This window comes from Homo sapiens, chromosome 4 (genome assembly GCF_000001405.40).
Source record: "Homo sapiens chromosome 4, GRCh38.p14 Primary Assembly".
NCBI lineage: Eukaryota > Metazoa > Chordata > Mammalia > Primates > Hominidae > Homo > Homo sapiens.
Window position 1 is genome coordinate 102,723,160 of NC_000004.12, and position 14,824 is coordinate 102,737,983.

At 44.1% G+C, this 14,824-nt stretch overlaps 1 protein-coding gene and 3 pseudogenes across 3 annotated transcripts in view, besides 2 other annotated features; 1 reads left to right on the forward strand and 3 right to left on the reverse strand.

The window, feature by feature from the left end:
- MANBA (mannosidase beta) overlaps positions 1 to 14,824 on the reverse strand; it is a 130,199-nt gene that overhangs the window by 92,390 nt on the left and 22,985 nt on the right. For 2 of the 3 annotated variants that reach the window (XM_047415692.1, XM_047415693.1), the window contains exons 2-4: positions 4,109 to 7,577; positions 3,430 to 3,524; positions 703 to 808 (exon numbers count right to left, since the gene is read on the reverse strand). In XM_047415692.1, the coding sequence (XP_047271648.1) occupies positions 703 to 808; positions 3,430 to 3,524; positions 4,109 to 4,210 (303 nt within the window). In that variant the 5' untranslated portion in view covers positions 4,211 to 7,577. The remainder of the gene's footprint in view (positions 1 to 702; positions 809 to 3,429; positions 3,525 to 4,108; positions 7,578 to 14,824) is intronic. The other variant, NM_005908.4, reaches the window with a different exon arrangement.
- Positions 4,115 to 7,562, reverse strand: LRRC37A15P (leucine rich repeat containing 37 member A15, pseudogene; annotated as a pseudogene).
- KRT8P46 (keratin 8 pseudogene 46) lies at positions 5,363 to 7,088 on the reverse strand (annotated as a pseudogene).
- Positions 6,323 to 7,317: an enhancer, noted in NCBI's record as "H3K27ac-H3K4me1 hESC enhancer chr4:103650639-103651633 (GRCh37/hg19 assembly coordinates)". NCBI's record gives its function as "activates a minimal SCP1, AML or CMV promoter by ChIP-STARR-seq in naive H9 embryonic stem cells {active_cell/tissue: H9 hESC(naive)}" and the evidence as "EXISTENCE:reporter gene assay evidence [ECO:0000049][PMID:30033119]".
- Positions 11,112 to 12,300, forward strand: LOC100288914 (mannosidase beta like pseudogene; annotated as a pseudogene).
- Positions 11,405 to 11,454: an enhancer, noted in NCBI's record as "active region_21756". NCBI's record gives its function as "activates an Ori minimal core promoter by ATAC-STARR-seq in GM12878 lymphoblastoid cells {active_cell/tissue: GM12878}" and the evidence as "EXISTENCE:reporter gene assay evidence [ECO:0000049][PMID:35858748]".

Genomic DNA, 14,824 nt, shown 5'->3' on the forward strand with positions numbered 1-14,824 from the left:
CTCCTTGCAGGAGGGAACACTTCTCTGAAACACTGTAGTATCTATCACTTAGTTGCCCACTTTTAGTTAAAACTAAGCATATTTTCCTACCCAATCCAAGTTTCTAGGCTTCTCCTTCTATTTTTCCTGGCAAAATGATGGTCCTAGGGAAATGGATAGAGCAAAAAATAACTTTAGCTCTGGAATGTCTGCTCTGTCTACTTATATGTGGCCTTGAACTGCCAAGGGTTTCCTAGACACTTCATGACAACCTGCCTCTCCGGTATGAACAGCATGCATTTCTAAGTAATGAGTTATTTTTGTTTTGAAAAGTCTACCTTTGAAAGGAAAGGAAGATCAGCATATAATCTCTTAATATAACTATTCCAGAAAGGAAATGACATTTTATTTTAAAATCATTTGTCCAATGAAACTGTATCAGCAGAGGAGGGATTGGCATGTTTTGAACACTTCCTATGTGCCAAGAACTTGCCAACATTTTATACAATTAGCTTACTAAATCCCCACACTAACCCCATGGGGTTTGTAAGGTTTCCATTATTCCACAAATGTGGCAACTGAGAAATCAAGTAACTCATCCAGTGCTTTAATGAGCTCATATTTGTCACATGGCCAATTATGCATTTACTTTTCTCTACTCACAAAAGCAATTAACATAAACACACATAAATTTTTTTTAACCTAATGTCATTATATACTTACATATCTATTGAACATATTGTCTGTTTCCCCAATAGTGACTTCATTGAACAGGATTTTTGAAACCGTATCCACTCCCTCAAGAATCAAATTTACTTTTTGCCATTTGCTAAAAAAAAGAAAAGATTTTTAAAACAAGATGTGTAAAGCATTAACTTAGATAAGTCTCTTTTTTATTATTTAAGGCCTAAAGAAATAAATATTCCACAAAAAATATATGTTCTTAAAAGGCAGTTTCCAGTGACATTTTCAGAAGTACTGCTTTAAAACATACTTACGTCCTTTGAGTGATCCAGCTTATCTTTCTCTATAATGTATCAATAAATCACCATAAAACCAAGAGCACAACTTATAATTTCCAAATATATTGACTTTTTCTAGTTAATACTTCAGAAAGCTATTATGAGAACCAAGTTAGGCCAGGAGCAGTGGCTCACGCCTGTAATCCCAGCACTTTGGGAAGCCTAGGCAGGCAGATCACCTGAGGTCAGGAGTTCGAGACCATCCTGGCCAACATGGCGAAACCCTGTCTCTACTAAAATTACAAAAAACTAGCCAGGCGTGGTGGCGGGTGCCTGTAATCCAAGCTACTAGGGAGGCTGAGGCAGGAGAAACACTTGAACCCAGGAGGCGGAGGTTGCAGTGAGTGGATATCCCACCACTGCACTTGCAAGATTCCGTCTCAAAAAAAAAAAAAAAAATGAGAACCAAGTTAAATAATAGACATAAAATGTTCTCACAAACTACATTTACTGACCCTGTCTAAGAGAACACGTTAGAAAACTATCATCTATAAGTGAATATTATGCACCCAGCACTCTGCTAAGCCTTACAGGAAACTATAACAGTGCCTGTACTTAAGGAGTCTGCAATCTGGTTGGCATTTGGTGGCTGGCTGGCAATATTGTTGAACAACTACAAGTGCTATCAGAGTTTATCTCATAAGAAAAGATTTCAAAATGGAAACAAGAACTTAATGAAGAGAAGAATAAATAAAATGTGTTGTATTCATACAATAAAATACTATTCAACAATAAAAAGGAATGAAGTACTGATACATGCTACAACATGGATGAACTTTGAAAACATTATTATGCTAAGTGAAAGAGGCGGTCACAAAGGCCCACATATTGTATGATTCCATTTATATGAGGTATCCAGAACAAGGAAATCCAGAGGGACAGAAAGTAAATTAGTGGTTCCTAGGGCTGGGGTAAGAATTCAGGGGCAGGAGGAGTGGGCAATGGGAAATGACTGCTAATGGGTGTAACTTTTTGTGGGGGGATGAGGAAAATGTTCTAAAATTGATTGTGGTGATGGTTTTGTAACTGTAAGTATACTAAAAACCATTGAATTATATACCTTAAATGACTGAATTGTACAATATGTTAATTATATATCAATAAAGTATTTTTTTTAAAACTAGGTAGAAATGACTGGGTGGAGGCATTTCTACTCCCCTTATACCCTTTGCTCTTTGCAGGAACCCCTTACCCCTGCAAAGAGCAAAACCAAAACAAGGAAGTGCTGACAGCATGAATTACTTTTAGGTAATCGACTCATATGTGTAATTTGGGCTGGGGAGCTAAGGAGGAAAAAGCTGGACAAATCCAAGGGGCAGAGAGGTGCGGGCAGTGTTACAGGGACAGACATCTTTCAGCTGTATTTTCACAGACAAGTGAGAAGTTTATACTTGATTTGCCAAGTAAAATAGACACTTGCTATTCTTGAACGAATACCTATCTTGGCACAATCAATATTCTGTGATGATTAATCTAATGTTTCTAAATTGAAAAGATTGGAGAATAAAAGAACAAAGCAAGAAATTTGATTAGGCAGCTTTGGCCTCTTTCCTGGCACTCTTCTAGGCAAAGATGGAAAGATGGAAATGAGATGGAAGGGGCCAAACCAAGAGAAATGTTAAACAAAAATTTGCAAGACCCACCCAGAACAGACTGAACACAGGAAGATGAAGAAAAGATGTAATAAGCCCAAAGCACCTTAGACATAGACTGGAAAATGGTGTTACATCAAGAAAAACAATGAAGCTGTTAGAATATAAAGTTAGTTTTAAGGGGGAAAATCAATTGGATATGTTGAGTTCAAGGTGAAATAGAACCATTACGAAAGATATTCTAAATATTATCTGTAAATAAAAGCCTGGAGCACAGCAGTAACTCCATGATATTGATAACAATATTCTGGCCTTTTCCCCCCTTTAAAAGACTAGTAAATAATTACCAAAAAAAAAAAATCACATAAAAGGGACAGAAGGATTTTTTTTTTCATTTAGCAGTAGTGGTGGTACCTTTGGGTAACATTCTACCTCATATGGAAATATTTGCTTATAATAACAGAACATTACTGAAAACAGTATCTGTGCTTCACCTCCTGGCTTCACCACATAGTATAGGTCAAGGTCATAGTCTCAATGGCTGGTTAGCACTACATAGGGCATAACCACTGGAAAAATGACTCCATAAGACACAATTTGGTGACTGTTGATTAGTAGCACCATCCTCATATACAAAACAAAACATAAATAATATATTCACTTTTATAGTACAAGGCTTTCATCTTACTTAACTCTCAGATATGTAACCTAAACAAACAAAACAAAACAAAACATACAAAACAAAAAAAAAACAAACAAAACACAACATTTTTGCCCAGATAGAAAAAGAAGAAAAGTTCAAATAATAATAAAAATACACCCACAAACATACATACCTAATTTCAAAGGGGATTTTAAATTCTTTGCTATAGGTCCAGTTATCCAAAGAGACCCATCTGTAGTTAAGGTCATTAAATCTGTAGTAAGAATCCTGTTGATACAAGGTAAAAATTATGGTAGATGGTTAAATATGCACAAATAAATTAATAAAACAAACATAAAATAAATTATTAACAACAGCTATTTATCACCTAAAAATTAACGAACTTTTAGCCTAGTAGTACAAAGAGGGGACAGATCGTTAATACTGAAAAATGTGAAGGGAAAATTCCAACAAATTACCTGAAATGAAATAATCCTCTGAGATATAAATAATACAGCTTCATTATCAAAGAAAATTGGTGGGCATTAAGATTGGCTTCCCCTTGGAGACAGGGTTTCACCATGTTGGCCAAGCTGGTCTCAAACTCCTGACCTCAAGTGATCCACCTACCTCAGCCTCCCAAAGTGCTAGGATTACAGGCATGAGCCATCATGTCCGGCCTACAGTTTATCTTGTGTACTAACCTGTTTCACTCTCTAAATGAGCAAAGTGGGAGATCACTGTCACGGCTGAAGTTACATGGCCAAGACAAACTATGGTCTGGGAGTCCCAGGTTCTCCTGTGTGGGCACTTTCCTGGAAGATGCTAAATGATAGGAAAATCTGGGTTTCATGTTTCTGTGTGGTCCTCACCTCACTTGACTTCTGCTCTTTCTGTTTGCTCTGGGCTTCCGTGCTCTCATTGATATAGTTCTCAGTTTTCCATTGGTCTGTATCCCATTCTGCCTTGGACATCTTTACTTCTTGCTGCTCACTGATGAATCAGGAGGCCTGTCCTGGAGATGAGCTTGGTATAGGCCAATTGCACATGGGTCTCAGAGCACTCCATCTTCAAGGTCCAGATAACATGAGAAATGAGTCTTCTCACATCATTATTGGGGATGAGGGGCCGTAGCTGCTGGTTTAGCTGAATTTCAAACTGATCACCTGGGGACGAGAGCAATGGGTAATTGAAGCTTTTGGGCTCGGGAGACAGGCCAGTGCCCATGTTGTTGTATTCCCATTGTGTTTCACAGTCTTCTCTAAGTTGAACGCAGTCTCAGCAGAATCTCCCTCAGGAGGATGGTTGTAGGTTGTGTTTTCAGAGATGGTGCCTTCTGGCATAGTAGTGTTTTCCATAAAAATGTTTTGTTCAAAGGCATTTCTTGCAGTGGTGCTTTTAAAACATTCTGATGGAGAAATACTTCCGGAAAAGGATTTTCCTGAAGACTCAGGTCTCCTAAAGATGAAAAAGCCCCTTGTGAAGGGGCATTTATGAGGCTTTTCACTGCAGAGAATGGAGGCCTCTTTGCAAGCAAAGTCTACTGAGAGAACTTTTCTGGAATGTACGATTGGTTTTAACTCAACTTTGCATTTTCTAAAACCAAAATGGGTAAGTCTTTCAATCTGTTTCTGACCACAGGTAGGGCTTTTGCAGGGGTGGAGATAGAAGGCACGCCCATGGAGAAGGGTTTCAGCAAAGAGAAGACTGCTGCCTTATGCTCTTGGTTGAACGAAGGCTTGGTATAGATGGCGTTTCCTGCTAACTTCTCATGCCCCTGCTCTATGTGAGGCTGTTCCAGCTCCCTTGGGGCTGGACTCCTGAGCCTTTTTTCTTTGGCAGCATTCTCCACAAATGCCCAGGCACCCTGTTCCTTCCTGTTGCTCTGCTTTCCCACCTCTTTGAAGTGACTTTTCTGGATGCTCCTTGGGCCCATGAGGATTCTGTTCACTCTCTGCAGGCTTTTGCCTACACTTTGAATCTTAGCCAGGCTGTTTTCCTGTGGTTGGACAGTTTCTAATTTCATGAGTTTTTGGATGCAGATTGAAGAGAGGGACTCTTTGTATGGTTTTTCGGAATACCCATCTTTCACATTTGAAAAAAACAGGTAACTATAAGGTTAGCTGTTGGCAGAGCTAGCAGAGGTTTTATTTTGGACCAAAAAAAAAAAGCAATTGAATTGTTTTGTAGCTGAAGGCATAGGCATGGGGGGTCCCCAGGTAGTAAACTACCCTGTGGGTGGGTTGAGGGCTAGGGCTGGGCCTCAGGTGGGTCTCACGTTCCCTGTGCTCCCTTCTGCTCTCTGGGAGAGTCGCAGGAGGGGCAGGCTGGGAGGGGCTGCCGCAGCTGTTCACTTGGGCAGGACGTCAGAGGACTAGGACACCAGCCTCCCATCATGGGTCTCGATCTTCTTCACAACCACTGCCCTGGTGGTGCTGGTGCGGCTGAAGGAGCTGGAGCCCACACCAGAGCCAAAGCTGGGGCTTGGGAGGCCCCCACAGGCCGAGCTCAGATCACCTGCATAACCACTGGTGGTCTTTGTATGGATACTCATGTTCTGCATCCCAGAGTCCAGCTGGCTCTCCTCGCCCTCCAGCAGCTTCCTGTAGGTGGCTATCTCGATGTCCAGGGCCAGCTTGATGTTCATCAGTTCCTGGTACTCAAGCAGTTGCCATGCCATGTCCTGCTTGGCCTGCTGCAGGGCGGCCTCCAGCTTGGACAGCTTGGCGTTGGCATCCTTAACAGCCAGCCCCCTGTGCTGCAGACATCTGTGATGGTGCCCTCCAGGGAAGCCCTCTGGCCTTTGAGGCCCTCAGTCTCAGCCTGGAGCTGGCTGATGTTCCGGTTCATCTCAGAAATCTCAGTCTTTGTACACTGCAGGTCATCCTCGTGCTTCCCAGCCAGCATCTGCAGCTCCTCATCCTTGATCTGGTACATGCTCTCAGCCTTGGCCTGGCTGCAGTTGGCGATCTCCTCGTATGGTGCCTTGACCTCAGCGATGATGCTGTTCATGCCCAGGGAGCGGCTGTTGTCCATGGGCAGCACCACAGATGTGTCCGAGATCTGGGACTGCAGCTCCTGGATCTCCTCTTCATACAGCTGCTTGAGGAAATTGATCTCGTCAGTCAGCCCTTCCAGGTGAGACTCCAGCTCTACCTTGTTCATGTAACCTTCATCCACATCCTCTTGATGAGGACAAATTCATTCTCCACCTCTGTACACTTATTGATCTCATCCTCATACTTGTTCTTGAAGTCCTCCACCAGCCCGGGCATGTTGCCAAGCTCCGCCTCCAGCTTCAGCTTCTCCTGGCCCAGAGTCTTCAGCTGCTGCCTAAGGTTGTTGATGTAGCTCTGGAACATGTTGTCCATGTTGCTCTGAGCCATCTTCTGCTGCTGCAGGAGGCTCCACTTAGTCTCCAGCATCTTGTTCTACTGCTCCAGGAACCATACCTTGTCTATGAAGGAGGCAAACTTGTTGTTGAGGGTCTTGATCTGCTGCTTCTCCTGGGTGCGCACAGCCTGGATGTTGGGGTCCACCTCCAGGTTAAGGGGGCTCAGCAGGCTCTGGTTGACTGTGATGGTGGTGATGCCACCCACGCTGCTGCCCTCACCATAGCCTCCGCCCAGACAACCTTGGAAGCTGCTGCTGCCCACTAGGGAGAAGCCTGAGGAGCTTATCTGGACACTGGGCCCACTTGTGTAGGAGTGGCTGCTGAAGGCCCGGGGCCCAGAGGTGGACACCTTGTAGGACTTCTGGGTCACCCTGATGGACATGGTGGAGGCAGGAGTGGGGGCAGGAAGGCCGAACCAGATAGAGATCCCAGAAGGAGTGGAGAAGCTGCTTCTTGGTCTTTTCAGTTAACTTTACCACATATCGTCTCATGACCGGAGGAATTTACAAGAGGGTATAACTTAGATTTATCCACATTTCTCATGACCTTCCCTGTGCCACCTGGAGGGCTGTAAGCAGGGTTTGCTTAGTGTAGCAAGTCGGCAACCTTGCTGTGGCACCTAGATAAGGGTTCAGGAATGCAGCTGCAGAGTATTCGGGGTAAGGGTCAGCTGCACTGCGGGGGCGGTTCCTGGGGCAGCTCGTCCCTAACAGTAACAACATTGATTCTACATCTTATAGATTTTTCTATGAGAAATAAGGCAAGACGTAATTTAGTGCGTCATTGATGTCTAGCTGCTCACTCCCAAAGCCTGACAAGTTGATGCCATTGCTGTCTGAGGCCGCCTCCAGCTCAGTAGTCAGCTCAGTGCTCGTGTGCTTCTTCCGGGCTTGTAATACCTTCATGAACGCTCCTTCTGGATTCCCTACAGATAGATGCTTCTTCAACTGTCAGGTAAGACACAATAAGTCTTTCTGAGTTTCTCTTATAGGGTTTAGCTTGTTAATTTCCTTATACTTTGTCCTCAAACTCAACTATCTTGTTCTTCCTTGCGCCTAGTTACCATAAACAGCCTACCCGCTTCCCGTCAGCTCTAATCAATAACTCACATCTGTTCCCTTGGTTACCTGCACCCCATGTTCCCCTGAAACTGCACATCTCACACGCTCCACCTCTGTCCCCCTCCCCTTCTATATTTAAAAAAATATGTACAAGTAGCCAATTGGGTCAGCTCAAACTGTGCAGTCCAACCCCAGCCCAAGGGGGAGTAGCACAGAGATAGGGACTGCGTTGAGGATAAAAACCCCCTGGTCTCCTTTGTTCTCTGTGCTCTTGCGATCTTGATTGACGCAAGTGGCACCCTTCTGCAGAAGTAAATTGCCTTGCTGAAAGAATTAAAAAAAAAAAAAAGATTGGCTTCCCCTTTTAAAACCAAACACAAAACCACCAGTATCAGCAGAGAATGAAAGACTGAATCTGTGGTGTGTAGCCAGCAGTCTCTCATTGCCCTGTGGTTCTCACTGTGCTGTTTGCGCCACTATCCCAGCCAGCCTCCAGGGGGAATACTTCTCTACTGCCCAAAAGTCAGCACAACTCCCTTCCGCTCATTGGATTCACTTAGCATTTCCAGTTATTTTTCACTTAGCTAAGTGAGCATGAAAAGGATCTCTACAGAGAATACACAGGCAGCAGAGATACTTCAAAACTTATTAACATCAGGTTTCTTATATTATCCTACCTCAGGTCAGCAAACTGCCACCCACAGGCCACATTCAGCTCACTACATGTCTCTGTGTGGCTAGCAAGCTAAGTAAGAATGGACATGTGCCCATAAATAAAGTTTTACTAGAGCACAGCCATGCCCTTTCCTTTGCAATTTACATATGGCTGCTTTGGTGCTATAGTGGCAGAGTTGAGTAGACATGATGGAGACCATCTGGCCCTCGAGGTCTAAAATATTTAGTATTTAGCTATTTACTGAACGTGTTTGCTAACCCCTGCCCAAGATGACTGGCCTCCTAGATGTTCATAGATGTTGCTCCATCTGAGTGTCTAGACCCAAGTCTGCCTCTTCATAAATCCTTAAGTCTTTCTTCTCCTACCCCCTTTCCACTCTTTTTACACTTTTTTTTTTTGAGATGGAGTTTCACTCTTGTTGCCCAGGCTGGAGTGTAATGGCGCAATCCCAGCTCACTGCAACTTCAGCCTCCCAGGTTCAAGCGATTCTCCTGCCTCAGCTTCCCAAGTAGCTGGGATTACAGGCATGCACCACCACACCTGGCTAATTTTTTGTGTGTTTTTAGTAGACATGGGTTTTCACCATGTTGGTCAGGCTGGTCTCGAACTCCTGACCTCAGGTGATCTGCCTGTCTCAGCCTCCCAAAGTGCTGGGATTACAGACATGAGCCACCGCATCTGGACTCTTTCCACTCTTTATCTCCCAGAGGAATACTCAAGACAGGAGGCAGAACAGAAAGTGGCAAACAAATCTTTTCAGTTCATCTATCCATGAACAATATATAGAAGGGAATTGTGCAGGCATGGAGGGGCTTCCCCTCCTTTGTCAGGGACAGATCCAAGTTATTTCCTTAGGGACCGTAACTCCAAGTCAAGAAGGAAAAGCCAACTCTGTCTAAGTTCCACACAGGTAAGAGCCAGATGAACACGTTAGGCTGGCAATGGCCAGTTAGGCAGTTGCCCAGGGCAAATCTGTAAGAAGCACTACAACATCAGTGGGAGTGTATCAAGATCAAGATAGGTATCTGCCAGAAACTGATCCAAACTGGAAGAAATATTTTGATAAGCTACTAGAGGAGAGAGTGACTGATGAGATTTAAAACAACACGTAATCACCAAACTGGCTTTTAAGGTCTGGTTAATGGTAAGGTTTTGTTCTGTTAAATGCCGTGTGCCAAGCCCAGCCAACTTATCTCCCACACAGGACTCGGCCTCTCCAATGAACAAACATGGAACACATATTTACAGACACAGGGTTGAAGAGGCACCTAATTATTAGCATGACCATGTCATTCCCCCAAGACCTATTTATAACTCTACACTGTGGACTTAGTCCAATACAGTTAAAAATATCATGAGAAGGAAGGTGTGAGAGCAATTCAGCCACAACACATCAACACACTAAGCCCGGGGGCTGGCTGATGATCTGGTTGACGGGGCACAAGTCCCCTTCCTTTCTCCCAGCTCCCTGAAGGAATCTGCAAGTTGGTTCAAGAGGGCAATCTTCCCAGATATATTTTTTCGACACAAACATAATTTATAGGTTAAAATTTTATCTTAAAGAGGCCAATCTGAAAAACCTAAATAATGTATGATTTCAACTATATGTCATTCTGGATGTTAAATAAAAATTACAGGAGGCCGTTGTTGACTGAGCTCCTATACTAGGCCTCAGCAGACCAGATCAAACCAAAACAGTCACTCATGCTAAGTACCACTTAATCAAACTGAAACTTTAACGAAGGAGGTAGATCCACAAACAGGGCAGTTTTTCCTGAAAACTTGAGATTCCTGTTCACCTGAGTAAGGAAGTCCTCTCTGCATTTTTTTTTTTTTTTTTTGAAACAGGTCTTGCTCTGCTCTGTCACCCAGGCTGGAGTGCAGTGGCACAACCATGGTTCACTACAGCCTCAACCTCCGGGGCTCAAGCAACCCTCCCAGCTCAGCCTCCTGAGGAGCTGGGGCTACAGATGTATGCCACCACTCCCAGCTAATTTTTTATTTTTATTTTTTTGTAGAGATGGAGATCTTACTATGTTGCCAAGGCTGGTCTCAAAATCCTTAGCTCTAGCAATCCTCCTACCTTGGCCTCCCAAAATGCTGAGATTACAGGCGTAAGCCACCACACTGGCCGGTTCTCTCTGCTTTTACCCTTTCTAGAAAAGTAACCTGAAGTAATCTGATGTTAATCAATCAGTTTTTTTCCTACTGTTCTGTTTCTTTGTTCCTTACAAAACCCACTATTCTTCCATGGCCCCATGAAAGTGCTCACTGTATTTTGTAGAATGGATGCTTTCCTGATTCATGAATCACAAATAAAAAACAATTTGATCTTTAACTACATTTGTTGTAATTTTGTCTTTTGACATGGAAAAGAAAAAACTATGGAGACAGTGAAAGGATCAGTGGTTACCATAGGTTAAGCAGAGGAGAAGAATGAATAAACAGAGCACAGAGAATGTTTATGGCACGGAAATTATTCTTTACAATATTGCAATGGTGAATACAAGTCATTATACATTTGTCCAAACCCACAGCATGTACAACCAAGAATGAACCCTAATGTAAAGTGTGGACTTTGACTGATAAAGATGTGTCAATGTCTGTTCATTGATTCTAACAAATGTACCACTCTGGTGGGGAATGTTGAAGAATGGGATGCTGTGCATGCAAGGAGGTAGGAGGTTATGTGAGAACCCTCTGTACTTTCTGTTCAATTTTGCTGTAAACCTACAAAGTCTACTCTTCCGGGGGAGAAGGGCAGCAGCGTGAGAGTTGGCTCTGAAGAGTGGTGAGTCAGAAGAGACCTCAGGCAGCAAGCGACTTGGGCCATGGCCTCTGACCTAGACTTCTCACCTCTGGAGGTGCCTGAGCCCACTTTCCTGGAGAACCTGCTATGGTACGGACTCTTCCTGGGAGCCATCTTCCAGCTCATCTGTGTGCTGGCCATCATCATACCCATTCCCAAGTTCCACGAGGTGGAGGCTGAACCATCTGAGCTCAGAAGTGCTGAGGTGACGAGGAAGCCCAAGGCTACTGTTCCTTCTGTGAACAAGAGGCCCAAGAAAGAGACCAAGAAGAAGCGGTAGAAGAGGAGGCCCGAGGAGCCAGACAGGCAGGGAGAGGGCCTTGGGGACAGCCCTCCTGGGAATCTATATCCTGTTCCCCCTCTCCATCCCAGGTTCAGGGTCTGAGGAGGCTGTGACACCCTCTGACCTCAGAGATCTAGACAGTCATGACAGTCCCCAGGCTCCAGCTGTGCAGTCCACCACTTCCTCTTCCTTCTGCTTCTGTGATGGTTTAGAGTCAAGGGGACTGAAACACACTGTGACTGTATTAGGAGGTTTGTTTAGAAGTTGGGTCAGCTCACAGAGTCACATTTTCTTACTTAGTCATGTGTCCAGCCTTGAGTCACCCCCTCCTTGTGAGTTTACATTACATTTTGGAGTCATTATCTAATGCTGACAAGCCCACCCTCTCCCATTATTTGTGCACTACAGATCTCCTGCTAATCAGTCACCTTTTTTGCTGCTGTGTAGACAGAGCCAGGCCTCACCTGTTTGTTTAGGCCAAAACGCCATGGCCATGCAATGTTAGTGATCCCACTAGCTGCGACAGCCAGGCCCAGAAAATGCCTGACATGAGAGCCAGCAGACAGCCCAGGCCAGGGTAGGCAGTGCCTGCTTCTGCTCTATCAGGTGCAAGGGATTTGGCTGAAGGCATGCATATTTCCTGGACACAAACTTCCTGAGCTTCTGAAATGGGAGGCTCATCAATTTCAGACCAACCTCTTTTCAACCCTTCAACCCATCATAGCACGTTCAAGGTGTGCCTTTTACTTCCACCTGTACATCCCCCATTCCTTCAATTCTTTCATTCCCTAACCAGAGAGAGTTCCTGGGGGAAATGTGGCGAATAAACTGCATGCATGCTGAAAAAAAAAAAAAAGAAAGAAAAGTCTACTAAAAATTTTTCTCTTACTAAGAGAAAATACCAAAAAAAAAAAAAAAAAGTTATAGAGGCTTAAATTACATTTAAAATAACTATTCCAAAGGCCAATCAACCAACCTAATTTGGTTCCAGGTTGGTCTGACCCTATTTGATCATACTGAAATTCTGAGCCTTATTTATAGCAAACAGCAGCTCAGGGTTACCTCTCATGACTAAGGACCCATGTCAGCCTGAGTTGTTAAGCAAACCCATGAACCCTAAAACAAATAAAAGTATCATTTGTCAACCATTTACTATACATCAGCCTCTAAAGTAGGCACTCATACACTCTTATCTTCATAATAAACACGTACAGTAAATACCATTTAATAGAGGAAGAAACTAAAGCTCCAAAAAGTGAAGTAGCTTTCCTGAGGTGCCACAACTAAGCAGAAGTATGTACACTGAGGAAAGAAACCAATCTAGTCTAACACCAAGGTCTGAATTTTTTGGACTATACTACAATGCCTCATGCTACATATACTTACACGTTTATACCAGCTGGTAACTGCAACAACAATAATAATAGTTAAAAGTTACTGCCTGTGACCCTAGTGGGGTAGGTACTATTATCATACCCATTTACCAACAAAGACTCTAAAGCTCAACTCAAATGGCTATTAAGTGGTGGAGGACTGACTCAGAACCAGGAAAGATGGCTCCAGGGTCCATATACTTAGTCATTACCTAGTACTACCATTAACATCACAACACCACCAATAGTTACAATGTCAGTGCTTATAAAGCAGCAGCCATGAAATAAACATGCCGTGTGTGCCTCGGCTAGTGATTTATAATTGATACTTACCATATTTACTATGTTTACTGTACATCAACAAACCATGTGTCATCAGAGCATGCAAATGACAATATCATCAGTCTCATTTTCTCAGTAAGCTTCTGGACTCCATCATTATACCTGATTATAGATACAGAGACTACTTAACCAGGTATAGCTTTTCCACTCCCCAGTTCTGCTTCAGACCAATGTCAGACTTTACCCCAGATACAATTACTTCGAATAGAATTAAATGGAGAAAGTTTTTTCAACTATCTTGTTTACAGGCGTTGTTTTCTTAGACACTTGGGCAAAAATAAATAAATAGATGTTAAGAAAACACTTATCAAAAACAAGCAAAATGTGGATTAGGATACATAATTATCTGGCAAACTGAGATAAAACGGCAGATAGGAGACAGGACTAACATGCAGCTCCCACTTGGATGAACAGAACAGCATGTGGAGACTCACACTGTGAATTTTTGCTCCAAGAACCACCACAGGAACATACCGGGAAAACCAAAAGAATTCAAGACCCTTTGAAACAAGTGGTTTGCCACTGCAAATTCTGTGAAACAGCCAAAAACTGTGAGTTCCCAAAGTGTGAGAGGGAAAAATGTCTGCCTCCAAACACACATCCCCTCTGGGAACCTGAAAATTCAGATCACGGGAGAAGGATTTAACCTTACCTAGAGCTGAAATGGATTTCAGGAGCCAAGCAAAATATAATAGTACCGAGAAAAGAAGCACCGGAAAGAGCGAGTCCCCAGCTTGAGTCCAGGGAAGCCATTCCTGGCCTATCTCACAGAGGTCTTTGGGGAAGGGAAGGCACCCAGCAGAACTGGAGGGGAGTCACAGGGTGAAGGAAGCTCCCGGCTGAACTTTGTAATATTTTCGACAAGCATGAATTTTCCTGAGCAGAATCCAGGAGCTTGGGGGTGGTGAACAGGAAGAACAGATATGAGCACAGCCAAAGGTGTGAGCAGGTGGGGAGGGGTGAGGCCTGAGAGCCATGTTTGCTTTCTCAGCAGGGAGGCTTATAGCCTGGGGCAAGATCTCAGTCCTGCTCACCGGCTGCCTGGATAGGAACTGATATAAAGTCAGTGCTGTTGGGGGGGCACAGTAGGAGTGAGACTGGCCTTGCTGGCTTCATGGAAGATGGGTAAGGCCTGTGGTGTTTTTTTTGTTTGTTTGTTTTTTTTTTGAAATGGAGTCTCGCTCTGTCACCCAGACTGGAGTGCAGTGGCACGATCTCTGCTCACTGCAAGCTCCGCCTCCCGGGTTCACACCATTCTCCTGCCTCAGCCTCCTGAGTAGCTGGGACCACAGGCGCCCGCCACCACGCCTGGCTAATTTTTTGTATTTTTAGTAGAGACAGGGTTTCATCGTGTTAGCCAGGATGGTCTCGATCTCCTGACCTCGTGATCCGCCCGCCTCGGCCTCCCAAACTGCTGGGATGACAGGCATGAGCGACTGCGCCCGGCCGGGTAAGGCCTGTCAGTGCTGGCTTTTCCCTAGCGAACTGTATGATGCAGCAGAGGCAATCATAATCCCCCTGGCAACATAATTCCATTAGCCTGAGAACCCCATAGTGGCCATGGCAGGCCCCACCCAAAAAGAGTCTGAGCTCAGACCCTAACCCTGTCCTCACCTGATGGATTTTCTCTACCAGACCTGGTCGCCAAAG